The sequence below is a fragment of the Homo sapiens genome, chromosome 8, assembly GCF_000001405.40.
Source record: "Homo sapiens chromosome 8, GRCh38.p14 Primary Assembly".
Lineage (NCBI taxonomy): Eukaryota > Metazoa > Chordata > Mammalia > Primates > Hominidae > Homo > Homo sapiens.
Genome location: NC_000008.11, coordinates 12,561,409 through 12,576,984, shown reverse-complemented (window position 1 = coordinate 12,576,984; position 15,576 = coordinate 12,561,409). Strand labels below are relative to the sequence as shown.

The window sequence follows — 15,576 nt, the reverse complement described above, 5'->3', positions numbered from 1 at the left end:
CCGTTTTCATCACCTGATTACAGCAGTGGTCCCCAAATGGTGTTCTTTGGACCATCTGTATAAAATGTTCATAGGTCAAGGATAAAATGGAAAAACAGAGAAAATGTCACAGAAATGTGCCCATTGTTGAGAGACCACCAGCTGTCCTTTTTGGAGGATTGTTCTTTATTCTAAAAATGTATATATTCTATTCTATTAAAACATTTTTGTGTTGGCATTTTTTTCTCTTTTATGAAATGCCATGGGGTAGAAATTTGTAATGTATCCAATTCTCCTGTCTTCATGTATTGCCCTGTGGTGGGGGAGGGGATGTGGCTAGTACTGGCCAAGAGGCTGGGGGCAGAGGTGCAATGTTAGACTTCTAGCCTGGAGCATTTAATTCTTAGTACAAGACTCTCTAACATTCTTCTCCCTCTGTTCCCTGCTTGGTGATACTCGAGGTATTGCAACCCCCATTAACCTTAGTCTTAGGGCAAGTTTGATGGGAAACAGAGCACCCCACACCTCCCTGCAGATGAAGCATGAGTGAGAAAAACAACTTCTGATGTTTGAAGTTACCAAGATTTGGGAGTTGTTTGTTATTGCAGCAAAACCTCACCTATTCTGACCAATCGTGGTGGAATTTCTGTGTGTGTGTGTGTGTGTGTGTGTGTGTGTGTGTGTGTGTGTGTGTGTGTAACTGGTAGTTTAAAAAAGTTCCTTCTTACCCAAAAGAAAAAAAAGATAGCAACCTTATGTTGGTTCTCAAATTAAAAAAATATTTTTACTCGTTCATAAAATAGAAAAATCTGAGAATCTGTAGCTTAGAGAACTACAGTGTGGGATGTCTATAAAGACCAGGTTATTTTATCAGCTCCTAACACCCCTTAATAGAAGCTTAGCCAAGACTTGCACTATTTCAGTCTTTCCCATTCCACATTCCATGGACTCTTGAAGAGACATTGATGAAACGGTGCAGCCATGAACCACCCTCACTCAATCCTAGTGGCAGAATCCCCCTTTTACTGCAGAATGAGCTTCTTGCTACAGTGATACTTGAACCCCTTAGATATATCCTGTACTAATTATATTAAAACACGACCAATGCTTTTGCTTTGTTGTCCCCCAAATTAAACACCTTAATCATGAGAACCCAGAGAATTGGATTTAGTGTAACTGATTCCAAACTGTCAGCAAGAACATAATTTATATTTTTCTCCAATTCAATTAAAAGAAAATTGACAATAAAAAGCTGATCAATACGTGTAGCTCAGGAGGTAGAGCCTGCTTTGAGATGCAGAAGTGTTTTTTTTTTTTTAGATCTATATTCTTGAGTAAAGAAAAAATCCATCTTTCTTTCCTAGAGGGGAAGAGTTTCAGAGCTGGGCTTGGCAACAGCCTGACTATCAGAGGCTGAATTAAACAAATAGATACCTCCCTGGAGTGAATGGTGTGTTTCTCCTGTTTGGGGAACCGTGCTTTTATGGGGCAGTTTGCGTTCTGTCTTGGTCTCCGGATGTGTGTATCTGTGGGTGGATGTCTGCATGTAAATGGAAGTGTATACCTGTGTGGGTGTGTACAAAATTCCCATGTGAATCTCAGCTTTGTGGGGATCTCCAGTTCTTGAGCCCAGTAGATGCCATTTGAAGAAAAAATCACTTGAAAATGAGACAGAAAGAATAGAAACTAAATCCTAGCTCTAAAGGCACCAGGCTGATTAAAAAAAAAAAAAAACTCAGGTTCTTCTTTGTTTTGGACTCTACCTACCTCTAAATGACATTTCTGTTTCCTATGAGATGATTAGAATGAAAAAGATCCTGAGCCCGAAAGAGCAGATACTGTGTGATAGTGTGTATATCAGGGTGTCAGCTGTGACACTGCTGACATTTTGGCTCAGCAATTTCTCTGTTCTATGTGTGGGGGTTCCCTGTGCATTTCAGGATGTTGAGCGGCATCCCTGGATCCCTGGACTCACTGGATGCAGTAACACAACTCCCCCCAAGTAGACACAACCCTCAGTGTCTCCAGATATTCCCTAATGTCCCCAGGGGGCAAAATAGCCCCATCTGAGAACTGCTGCTTTCATAAAGTACAATGTCAGGTGAAATAGGTGGAGGCTGTTTGTAGTCAGGGGTTAGTAGAGATGGAAGAGACCCCAGGAATATCCTGGAAGGGGCTGTAATATTTTGTTTCTTGAATTGGGTGTCAGTAATATGGAGATGTTCAGTTTTTTTTGTTGTTGTTGTTGATTTTGAGGCAGGATCTTGCTCTGTCACCTAGGCTGGAGCACAGTGACACCGTCATGGCTCACTGCAGCCTCTGCCTCCTGGGCTCCAGCAGTCCTCCCACCTCAGCCCTCCCTAGTAGCTGGGACTACAGGCAGGTGCCACCACTGTTGCCTAATTTTTTATTTATTTATTTTTTGTAGAGAGGAGTGTCTCACTATGCTGCCCAGGCTGGTCTCAAGCTCCTGGGCTCAAACAATCTGCTCACCTCGGCCTCCCAAAGTGCTGGGATGGCAGGCATGAGCCACTGCTTCTGGCCAGTATGTTCAGTTTGTAAGAAAAGTACTGTGTTGACCTCTTCTATGTGCACATTTCTTTAAGTAATAATTCAATAAAGCATTTAGAAAAATTGGTCATAATAGGAGTAATTTGTAGAGTGATTGGCATGAAAGCTGATCACCTTAATTTGAACTACTCTGAAATGAGCACCAGGGGCCACCAAGAGGACCCTTTCAAGGTGTCATAGCCAAGGAGAGGAGTGTGTTGTGTACATCTCTGCATAAAGGATTTGCTGATTACATGGAAGGATGAAGCCTCCTTCTGAGGACAGAGGCAGCAAAGCAAGTGGAAGCCCAAAGCATTGAGCTTTCCAAATGGACTTTGCTAAAATCTTGTGGATGGCTCATGCTCTTAACATACACCCATGTACATATTGTCCATATAAACATTAATTCTGTAACAAGGCCCACACTTAAGGGTTTTTTTTTTTTCTTTTGTGACAGTCTTGCTTTATTGCCTAGGCTAGAGTACAGTGGCATAATCGTGACTCACTGCAACCTCCGCCTCCTGGGTTCAAGCAATGCTTGTGCCTCAGCCACCTGAGTAGCTGAGACTACAGGTGCAGAACACCATGCCTGGGTAATTTTTGTATTTTTAGTAGAGACGGGGTTTCACCATGTTGGCCAGGCTGGTCTCAAACTCCTGGCCTCAAGTGATCTGCGCACCTCAGCCTCCTAAAGTGTTGGGATTACAGGTGTGAGCCACTGCACCTGGGCCCATACATAAGGTTTGAGTTGAGATAGAGAAACTCTGGCAGGACTGAGGAATTGGGCCACAGTCTCTGGGAAATATGCACAATTTCTGGAATCTTCTCTACTTCCAGAATTCCCACTTTCTGTCTCCTGTTTATTCAACAAACTTGTATGGAACCACAGTGTGTCTAGAACTTGCCAGGTGTGGAGGATAAAAAGATGACTGAGATCGGACATGGTGGCTCATGCCTGTAATCCCAGCACTTTGGGAGGCCAAAGCAGGCGCATCACTTGAGGGCAGGAGTTTGAGCACAGCCTGGCCAACATGATGAAACGTCTTTACTAAAAATACAAAAATTAGCCAGGCATGGTGGCATGCACATGTAGTCCCATATACTTGGGAAGCTGAGACAGGAGAATCGCTTGAACCCAGGAGGCAGATGTTTCAGTGAGCTGAGATCACACCGCTGCATTCCAGCCTGGGAGACAGAGCAAGATTCCATGTCAAAAAAAAAGATGACTGAAATACAGACTCCCTCAGAGTTGACTCTAACACAAACTAGGTAAGAGCCCAAGGTCTGGCTGGGCAGACACCTTGATCGGCCTCATCCTGCAGCGTCTACTAGAATGAAGAATACTTTTTTCTTTACCCATGAAAATGTTTTGTGCTTCATACCCACAAGTGCAATTTGTGTTAATTCTGCAAAATTTGCCTCATAACTCTGCCTGTATTCTTAGCATTTTTCCTTTGAGAGATTTCTCAGCACATCATCTTTGGACTATGTGGAATTGGAAATTTACTTAGAGTCAACAACAAGTACAGGAAAGTCAGTTCTTAGTCAAGAGTTAGGTTTTCAAAGACAGTGGATAAAATAAAAAATTAACATTTGATGTACAGTTAAGATTATACGTGCAAATCCCCTCATCATTCATAAAGTTTAGCAGTCAGTCTTACCGTGGCTCACCAGGTCCAATCCATACTTCTTCCTCCACGATTGGAGCAGAGGGTGATTTTTTTTCTGAGCAACTGATGAAGTCATTTAGAGACCATTTGCAGTAGAAACCATGTGTACTAGAGACCAATCAATGTGCTCTCATGGCAGCATTTCTGCCTCTCTCCGTCTTTGTTCTTGCCAAGTACCCACAGTTCATTTTCCATAGATTGAAAGAGCCCAAGTTGGGCCTATATCTAGGAGTACAATTGCTAGGTCATTTGGTAACTCTATGTAGAATTGTTTGGGAAGTTGTTAAACTGTTTCTCACAGTGGCTACACCATTTTAATTCCTACCAGCTGTGTATGAAGGTTCTAGTTTCTCTGCATCCTCACCAAAACTTGTTATTTTCTGGTTTTTTTTTTTTTTTTTTTTTTTTTTTTTTGAGACAAAGTCTTGCTCTGTCGCCCAGGCTGGAGTGCAGTGGCACAATCTCAGCTCACTGCAACCTCTGCCTCCAGATTCAAGTTACTCTCCTGCCTCAGCCTCCCGAGTAGCTGGGATTATAGGAACCTGCCACCATGCCTGGCTAATTTTTGTATTTTTTTAGTACAGACAGGGTTTCACCATGTTGGCCAGGCTGGTCTCACACTCTTGGCCTCAGGTGATCCACCTGCCTCGGTCTCCCAAAGTGCTGGGATTACAGGCATGAGCCACCGCACCAGGCCAATTTTCTCTATCTTCGATTCTAGCCATGCTTATGGGTATGAAGTGGTATCTAATTGTGGTTTTGATTTCTGTTTCCCTGATGATGAATTTCATTGAGCATCTTTTCATGTGCTTATTGACCACTTGTATGTCTTCCTTGGAGATGCGCAGTATTTTCATATTCAAAAATGAAAGCACAGGTCCACACAAAATTTTGTACATGAATAATTACAGTAGCATCACTCCTAATAACCCAAAGAGAGAATTAATCCAAATGCCCATCACCAGATGAAGAGATACACCTATTGTTGTCTACCCACATGGTGGAATATTATTTGATCACAAAAAGGAGGATAGTACATACGCTACAGCGTGGATGAACCTTCAAAACAGATGAAAGATCACATTCTACATGATTTCATTCAGATGGAAATCTACAGAAATAGGAAGTCGATTAGTGGTTGCTTAGGGGTGGTAGGGGCATGGGAGGATGGGGCTGTTAGCTAAAGGGTATGAGGTTTCTTTTTGAGGTCATGAAATGTTCTAAAATTGACTGGTAATGTTTGTGTATATCTCTGAATATATTGAAAACCATTGAAATGTAAAAAATGCAAAGAAAAAACAGCCCAAGTTGCAATTTTATTCAACGCTTGATTGGCTTTAAAAATAGATTCCAGGCTGGGCATGGTGGCTCACACCTGAAATCCCAGTGCTTTGGGAGGCTGTGGTGGGAGGATTGCTTGAAGCCAGGAGTTCCAGGCCAGCCTTGGCAACATGGCAAGACCCTGTCTGTACAAAAAAAGAAAAAATAAATAACAGCTGGGTGCAGTGGTCCACACTTGTAATCCCAGCACTTTGGGAGGCAGAGGCGGGCAGATCACCTGACATCAGGAGTTCAAGAGCAGCTTGGCCAACATCCTGAAATCCCGTCTCTACCAAAAATATAAAATTTAGCCTTTTGGTACTCCAAGCAGCACCATGGCGGTTGTTAAGAACAAGTGCCTTATGAAAGGTGGCAAAAAGGGAGTTAAGAAGAAAGTAGTTGGTCCATTCTCTAAGAAAGATCAGTATGATGTGAAAGCACCTGCTATGTTCAATATAAGAAATACTGGAAAGACTTGGTCGCCAGGACCCAAGGAACCCAAATTGCATCTGATGGTCTCAAGGGTCTTCTGTTTGAAGTGAGTCTTGCTGATTTGCAGAATGATGAAGTTGCATTTAGAAAATTCAAGCTGATTACTGAAGATGTTCAGGACAAAAACTGCCTGACTAATTTCTATGGCATGGGTCTTACCTGTGACAAAATATGTTCCATGGTTGAAAAATGTTCAACGATGGTTGAAGCTCATGTTGATGTCAGGACTACCGATGGTTACTTCTTTCATCTGTTTTGTGTTGGTTTTACTAAAAAACACAACAATCAGATACTGAAGACCTCTTATGCTTAGCACCAACAGTCTGCCAAATCCAGAAGAAGATGATGGAAATCATGACCTGAGAGGTGCAGACAAATGACTTGAAAGAAGTGGTCAATAAATTGATTCCAGACAACATTGGAAAAGATACAGAAAAGGTTTGCCAATTTATCCTCTCCATGATGTCTTCATTAGAAAAGTAAAAATGCTGGAGAACCCTGGGTTTGAAAGGCATGGAGCTTCGTGGTGGAGGTAGTAGTTCTGGAAAACCCACTAGGGACGAGACACATGCTAAAGTTGAATGAGCTGATGGATAGGAACCACCAGTCCAAGAATCTGTTTAAAGTTCAGACTTAAAACAGTACCAAATAAAAAGTCCTATTTGTGAAAAACAAACAAGAAACAACAATGAAAGAGCAAAATTACGCTGATGTGGTGGTGTATGCCTGTAATCCTAGCTACTCAGGAGGCTGAGGCATGAGAATCACTTGAACCCGGGAGACAGAGGTTGCAGTGAGCCAAGATTGCACCATTGCACTCCAGCCTGGGCAACAGAGTGAGACTCTCTCCAAAAGGAAGAAAAAAAAAAAAAGTATCCGGGCTTGGTGGCATGCGCCTGTAGTCTCAGCTACTCTGAAGGCTGAGACGGGAGGATGGATTGAGACCAGGGGTAATTTGAAGCTGCAGTGAACTACGATTGTGACAGTGCACTCCAGCCTGGACTGCAGAGCAGGACCCTGTCTCTTGTACATACACACACACACACACACACACACACACACACACATACATACATACCCAGGTTCTACCTCTGGTGATTCTGACTCAGTAGGGTGGGGTATCCCCTAGGGATCCTGCTGTCCAGCCTGGTCTGGGATCCACTTTTCATTGGGAACTGAGACACTGGCTGTGAGCCTTTCTGTCCTGAGATGTAGAGGTCATGGCGATGCAGGTTCAAGCTTAAGGAGACCTGACTGTGCGTTAGGTATTGTGCTGAACATCATCTCTTACTCTCACAGCAACATCCTTAGAAGGTTAATGATGTATCCGTGCTCTACAGATGAGGAACTGAGCTTTCAGAGGAGATTAGCTTGTTTAAAACTATTCTTCCTATTGGAAACTTTGTACCCTTTGACCAGTGTCTCCTATCCCCTCCCTTTCCTTCACCCCAGCCCCTGATAACCACTGTCCTACTCTCTATTTCTGTGAGTTCAACTTCTTTAGATTCCACATACAATAAAATCATGCAGTATCTGTCTTTCTGTGCCTGGCTTATTTCACTTAACACAATGTCTTTCAAGTTCATCTATGTTGTTGAAAATGACAGGATTTCTTTCTTTTTTAAGGGTTAATAGTATTCCTTTGTGTGTATATAGTACATTTGCTTTATCCTTTCATCCACTCATGGACACTTAGGTTGATTCTATATCTTGGGTATTGTGAATAGAGCTGCAGTGAACATAGGAATTTAGGGATCCCTTCGACATATTGATTTTGATTTTTTTTTGGTCTATATCCAGAAGTTGGGTTGCTGGATTATATGTTTTGAAATCTATAGCACAGCAGCGTGACTATAGTCAATAATAATGTATCTTTCAAAATAACTAAGTGGGTACATTTCAAATGTCGCATCATGAAAATTGTCAGTAAATTAGGGGATGGACGTGTTCATTAGTTTGATCTAATCATCCCACATTGTATACATATATCAAAACATCACATACATGGGTACAATTATGATTTGTCAATTAAAATAACGTTAGTTAAAAAAAATAAGTAACTTCTTCAAAGCCCCAGTTGGGATTGATGGAGCTTGGACATGCACCAAGGCTGTTGCTCTGATGCCCACAGAGTCCTTTGTCGACGAATGTTGAAGCCCTACCTGAGATTTCTACTGAGATCAGTGTAGGGATTCAATGTCTCAGAATCATCCCATCCTCCAGGGCCCACAAGTCCATGACAGCTGCCTCTACCCCTGACCCTACTGACCTGAAATGTGGCCCCTGCTTTCATTTCCAGGAGCATACAACACTTACACCAAGCATTGATGGGTTTTGTTGACTTCATTTGAGATGTGGGGCCGTGGAGAGGGTCCCATGATCCTTGCTTGGTGTTGGCCAACTCATTGACTTCTCTCCTTTGACTTCACCCTTCCCTTTTCAACTCACCTCCTCTGTCATGGATTGCTCTGGGAATTCTGAGCCCTGGTTCCTTTATTTTGCAGATAACCTTCACTCTTCTCTGCAACGAATCCCAAAAGTGTGTAGTTGAGCTGACTGCAAGGTGCTTGACACGCAAGAGAATTTACAAATGGGATTCGGCCTCTGGAAAGTGGTGGTAGTTCCAGATTTATGTGGATGTTACTTTGTTTTTCCCTATAAGATCTATTCTTTAAACTATCAAGCTCTTGGCTCCTGGCTGCAGTCGTTTGCTGGTGGCAGTGGGCTGGGTACTGCCACCGGGGAGAAATGCTGTCCACTTAGAGAAAGGGAAACTGGTTCTCTTTAAGAGGCAGAGGGAGGTTTCCAGTGCCAGTTTGTTTGGAGGCAAAATGGCTGTTGTAGTAAAATTGCCCAAACTTGGGCTGGTGCCTTGTGTGTTTAGAGCTCAAAGCCACGATTGTTTTCTTTTTGTTTTTTTTTTTTTGGTGGTTGGTTTTCCATCCTTTTGCTTGGCAGGTTTCTGCTGATAGCTTCAACCTCAAGAGTCCCATTATACAGACACTAATAGCACCTCCTATGTGTCAGTCTGTAGTGCCTACTATGTGCCAGGCATTGGAGATAATATAATGATGAACAAGATAAACATGACATTTGGAAAAGAGAGTCTACTTCCCACTCTCAGCCCACCCCAAAGAGAGGCCAGAATTGGGCTTCCAAAGATCTCAGATGCCCTTGCATCACCTCCCTGAAGAGGGCGGGTGAAGCTTTGGTGTCTGCAGAGAATTTGTCTGGACAATCCCCCAGGTTTGGAAGAATGGGAAGGAGCTGCCATCTGTGTTTAAGGTGAGAATTGGGGGAGTGGCTGGATATCAGCAGAAGCCAAGATGAAGAGAAGGTTTTTGTGAGTTCCTATGCATAGTGGAGACCTGTTCTAGTGAGGGTCCCTGGGGCTGAGCCTGTGGGTCAGTGGAATGATGCTGTGAGGAGGGTCTTGTTATAGCAGGTGGCCCAAAGAAGGTTGATGGATCATGAGCAGCTGGAAGAATGGAGAGTTCGGGGGATGTAGTTCCTACCTGGCTTTCCAACAGTGTGTAAGCCCAGAATTCTTACATAAGCCCATGGAGAAGGGAAAGGAATACTGGTAACGACAAGATTGAATTCTCCACCTGCCAGGCATCCAGAGACTCAGAGCAGATTTAAGTGAAGTTACAGAAATAGGAATGTGACATTTCCTACATCCGGGTGTGCTGGAGCAAATATATTCCTTCTCTGGTTTGTGGGGAAGGAGAATGCTAACAGACAAGACTCCAGGATTTTGCTCTTAAACCTGGTGCCTACAGATGCATTTTCTACTGGATGCAGACAGAAGCTCCATATAGACATATCCATCGCTGCATCTCTCATGCCTTCTGTTCTCCCTAATTTTCCCTTTTTCACCCACAGAGGAAGAAAGTTCCAGCATCACTTCTGGCCTCTCAAGAGTGAGTTAGGTGGCCAGGTGGGGTTATTCATGCCTGTAATCTCATACTGAAGGGGTGGCCTGCCCCTCCACACCTGTGGGTATTTCTTGTCGGGTGGGATGAGAGACAGAAAAGAAATCAGACACAGAGACAAAGTATAGAGAAACAACAGCGGGCCCAGGGGACCGGCGCTTAGCATGCTAAGGACCTGCACTGGCACAGGTCTCTGAATTCCCTCAGTTTTTATTGATTATTATCTTCATTATTTCAGCAAAAAGGAATGTAGTAGGAGGGCAGGGTGATAATAAGGAGAAGGTCAGCAACAAACGTGAGCAATAGAATCCATGTCATAATGAAGTTCAAGGGAAGGTACTATGACTGGACGTGCATGTAAGCCAGATTTATGTTTCTCTCCACCCAGACATCTCAGTGGAGTAAAGGATAACAAGGCAGCATTGCTGTAAACATGTCTCGCCTCCCACCATAGGGCGGTTTTTCTCCCATCTCAGAACTGAACAAATGTACAATCGTGTTTTATACCGAGACATTCAGTTCCCAGGGGCAGTCAGGAGACAGTGGCCTTCCTCTATCTCAACTGCAAGTCTTTCCTCTTTGACTAATCCACCTCAGCACAGATCTTTTATGGGTGTCGCGCTGGGGGACCGTCAGGTCTTTCTCATCCCACGAGGCCATATTTCAGACTATCACATGGGGAGGAACTTTGGACAATACCCAGCTTTCAAGGGCAGAGGTCCCTGCGGCTTTCCACAGTGCATTGTGCCCCTGGTTTATTGAGATGAGAGAATGGTGATGACTTTTACCAAGTATACTGCTTGCAAACATTTGGTTAACAAGGCACGTCCTGCACAGCCCTACATGCCTTAAACCTTGATTTCATACAACACATGTTTTTATGAGCTCCAGATTGGGTCAAAGTGGTTGGGGCAAAGTGGCTGGGGCAAAGCTACAGATTAACAACATCTCAGCAAAGCAATTGTTTAAAGTACAGGTCTTTTTCAAAATGGAGTCTCTTATGTCTTCCCTTTCTATGTAGACACAGTAACAGTCTGATCTCTCTTTCTTTTCCCTACATATCCCCATTTTCGTTTTGACAAAACCACCTCCATCATCATGGCCCCTTCTCGCTGGTCGCTGTCTCTCTGGAGCTGCTGGATACACCTGTAGACTAAAAATAGAAAGGACAGACATACAAGGATTAATAAAAAATTTGCAATAGTGGAATTTCCGGTGGTTTGAACCCAAGTGACGGGGCAAGAGGACGGTGTGGGTGCTGCGGCACCAAGGCAGTCTCCCACCTCCTTTGTGTCTTAGTTGCTGTTTCTCATAGTTTTCAGTCTTTCTCCTCACCTGCTCACTCGCACCTTTTATCTCTTTGTCTCCCTTCTTTTACGGTCTCTCTCTCTCTCTCTCTTTTACACTGTCTCTCTCCCCAGTCTCACTTTCTGTGTCTCTCTCTGATCTCTGTCTCTTTTTCTTTCTCTTCCTCTCCCTGGCTCCCAACATGTGCCGTTTCCTTGGTGGATTGTAACTTCATCTGTTCTTCTGATATCACCATTTTGTTCACCCTGCGAGTCGATGATGCTCGACTGCGGGTTTTCTGTCTCTGCAGAGGCACTTTCATTTGCATCTTGATAGGTTCATTGTAGAACTTCAAATGTCTAGTGGGTATCCAAACAGGAAGCTGATTTTCTCCGGGTGAAACACAAGCACAACCTCTCCCCCATATTATCACCTTACCTATTTCCCATATTTTGTTTTTGTTGTCTTTCCACCAAATCAGTTTTCCCTCACGTGGCCTATTATTTTTACTAGTAAAATGTTCTGCAGAAGTAGTGGTCTGATTTCTATGTATGTCTAGAAAATCTAAAGTATAGAGTGTTAGATTAAGTTGCATCTGGGGAGTGCTATACTCCTTATTGTATTTTTCCTTTTTTTGTTTAACCAATTGAGCTTTGAGTGTTCTAAGCAGGACAGGTAAGATCTGCGTCTGGCACAGTCAGCCAGGTCTCCTTACCCTGTGCTTCCCTTTCTGCCTGTGACTGAATGGGCATGTCAGGGTCTAGTAGGGGATCCAGGAGGAGGAAGCCTCATTAACTTCTATTCTGCAGCAATTGATAGACACCCAACTTGAACAGTGGGGGCTTATCGCCTCATATACTAAGACCAGAGATAGCTGATGCCAAGGTTGGCTAAATTAGTAGCTTGAGATGTTAGATTTTTCATTTGAGGTTTCTATGCTGCTGTTGTCTTCCGCTCTTGGTCACAGAGGCTGCCACAATCCGCATGTCAAGTCCTCATGTGACAATATCCAGACACAGCAAGGAAGAGGTAGAGTGTATTCCTGCATGTTTCTTAAAAAAAAATGTTTTTGATAGAGAATAATTGTACACATTTATGGGGTCCATGTGAGATTCTGGTACATGCATGTAATGTGTAATGATCAAGTCAGGGTCTTTAGGATATTAATCACCTCAAACGTTGATCATTTCTTTGTGTTGGGAATATTTCAAATCTTATTGCTATTTAGAAATACACAATAAATCTATTTATCAGGATACAAAATCTATGTACACATATCAGTAGCAGTGCTATACACCAACATCTACCAGGCTGAGAATCAAATCAAACCCTTTTATAATAGCTGTAAAAATAAAATACTTAGGAATATACCTAACCAAGGAGGTGAAAGACCCCTACAAGGAAAACTACAAAACAATGTTGAAAGAAATCATAGATGACACAAACAAATGGAAACACATTCCATGCTCATGGATGGGTAGACTCAATATTGTGAAAATGACCATACTGCCAAAAGCAGTCTCCAAATTCAATGAGTTCCTATCAATGTACCATCATCATTCTTTATAGAACTAGAAAAAAAAAATGCCAAAATTCATTTGGAACTAAAAAAGAGTCTGCAAAGCCAAAGCAAAACTAAGCAAAAAGAACCAATCTAGAGGCATCACATTACCCAACTTCAAACTATATTACAAAGCTATAGTCACCAAAACAGCATAGTGCTGGTATAAAAATAGGCACATGACCAATGGGACAGAGTAGAGAACCTAGAAATAAAGCCAAATGCTTAACAGCCAACTGATCTTTGACAAAGTAAACAAAAACAAAGTAAGAAAAGTACACCCTATACAACAAATAGTGCTGGGATAATTGGCAAGCCACATGTAGAAGAATAAAACTGGATCCTTATCTCTCACCTTATACAAAAATCAACACAAGATGGATCAAAGACTTAAATCTAAGGTCTGAAACCATAAAAATTCTAGAAGATAACATTGGAAAATGCTTCTACACATTGGCTTAGGCAAAGAGTTTATGACCAAGAACCCAAAAGCAAATACAACAGAAACAAAGATAAATAGATGGGACTTAATTAAACTAAAAGCCTCCTGCACAGCATAGGAAATAATCAGCAGAGTAAACAGATCACCCACAGAGTGGGAGAAAATTTTCACAAACTGCATTTGACAAAGAACTAATGTCAGAATCTACAGGGAACTCTAATCAGCAAGAAAAAAATAATCTCATCAAAAAATGTGCCAAGGACATGAATAGACAATTCTCAAAAGAAGATATACAAATGGCCAACAAACATATGAAAAAATGCTCAACATCACTAATTACCAGGGAAATGCAAATCAAAACCACAATGCAATACCACGTGTAAAATAAACAAAAAGAGGGCCGGGCGCGGTGGCTCACGCCTGTAATCCTAGCACTTTGGGAGGCCAAGGTGGGCGGATCACGAGGTCAGGAGTTTGAGACCAGCCTGACCAACATGGTGAAACCCAGTCTCTACTGAAAATATAAAAATTAGCCGGGCATGGTGGCAGTTGCCTGTAATCCCAGCTACTCAGGAGGCTGAGGCAGGAGAATTGCTTGAACCCGGGAGGCAGAGGTTGCAGTGAGCTGATATGGCACCATTGTACTCCAGCCTGGGCGACAGAGCGAGACTCCATCTCAAAAAAACAAAAAACAAAAGACAAAACAAAACAAAAAAAACAAAAATTGATGTTGGCATGGATGTGGTGAAAGACAACGCTTTTACACTGATGGTGGGAATGTAAGCTAGTACCAGCACTATGGAAAACAGTATGAAGATTCCTTAAAGAACTAGAAGTACATCTACCATTTGATCCAGTAATCCCACTGTTAGGTATCTACCCAGAGGAAAAGAAGTCATTATATGAAAAAGATACTTTTGCACACATGTTTACAGCAGCAGAATTCACAGTTGCAAAACTACAGAACCAGCCCAAATGCCCATCAATCAATTTGTGGATAAAGAAAATGTGTTATATATATATATGTATACCATAGAACACTACTTAACCTTAAAAAGGAATAAAATAATGGCATTCATAACAACCTGGATGGAGTTGGAGACCATTATTTCAAATGAAGTAACTCAGGAATGGAAAACCAAACATTGCATGTTCTCACTCGTGGGAGAACATGGGAGCTAAGCTATGATGATGCGAAGGCACAAGAATGAAACAGTGGACTTTGGGGGCTCAGGGGGAAGGTGGGAGGGGGTGAGAGATAAAAGACTATACATTGGGTAAACTGCTTTGCTGATGGGTATGCCAAAATTTCAGAGATCACCCCTAAGGGACGTATCCATGTAACAAAATACCACCTGTTCCCTAAAAACTATTGAAATTAAAAAAAAGAAATATACAATAAATTATTGTAGTCACTTTCTGTGATAATAAACACTAGATCTCATTCCTTCTATTATATATTTTTATACCCATTAATCAACCTCTTTTCAAACCTCTCCTATTCCTAGCCTCTGGTAACTATCATTCTACTCTTTATCTCCATGATATCAATTTTATATAGCTCCAGGGCACACAAGTCCATAACTGTGGTCTCTATCCGTGACCCTACTGACCTGAAATATGGCCCCGCTTTGATTTCCAGGAGCATAAGCTGCTCATATAAGTGAGAACATGCAATAGTTTTCTTTCTGTGCATGGCCTAGTTCACCTGACGTTATGACCTTTAATTCCACCCAATTAGCTGAAAATGACAGGATTTCATTTTTTATGGCTAAATACTATTCCATTGTGTGTATATTCCCATTTTCTTTATCCATTCATCCATTGATTGACATTTAGATTGATTCCATATCTTGGCTATTGCAAATAGTGCTGCAGTAAATATGGGGGTATGGGTATCCCGTTGATACACTGATATCTTTTTTTGGATATATACCCATGAGTGGGATTGCTGGATCATATGGTAGATTTGTTCTTAGTTTTTTGAGAAATCTCTGTACTTTTTTTCATAATGGCTGTACCAATTTACATTCCCACCAACAATATACAATAATTTCCTTTTCTTCACATGCTTGCCAGCATTTGTTGTGCTTTGTCTTTTTAATACCCATTCTAACAAGTGTGAGATGATATCTCATTGTGGTTTTGATTTGCATTTCCGTGATGATTAGTGATGTTGAATATTTTTTCATAAACTTGGTGATTTGTATATTTTCTTTTGAGAAATGTCTGTTTATTTTTTGATAGTTTCTTTTGCTGTGTAGAAGCTCTTTCATTTAATTAGATCCCATTTGCCAATTTTTGCTTTTGTGGCAATTGCGTTTGGCATCTTCACCATGA

General features: G+C 42.0%; 2 long non-coding RNA genes and 1 pseudogene across 2 annotated transcripts in view; 2 read left to right on the top strand and 1 right to left on the bottom strand.

Annotated features, from left to right (window-relative positions):
• LOC729732 (uncharacterized) overlaps positions 1 to 15,576 on the top strand; it is a 128,533-nt gene that overhangs the window by 88,627 nt on the left and 24,330 nt on the right. The window lies entirely within an intron of this gene.
• RPS3AP34 (RPS3A pseudogene 34) lies at positions 5,831 to 6,679 on the top strand (annotated as a pseudogene).
• The window catches only part of FAM86B2-DT (FAM86B2 divergent transcript), a 129,833-nt gene continuing 124,396 nt past the window's right edge, over positions 10,140 to 15,576 (bottom strand). Inside the window, exon 6 of the long non-coding RNA NR_040092.1 lies at positions 10,140 to 11,099. This is a non-coding gene — a long non-coding RNA (FAM86B2 divergent transcript). The remainder of the gene's footprint in view (positions 11,100 to 15,576) is intronic.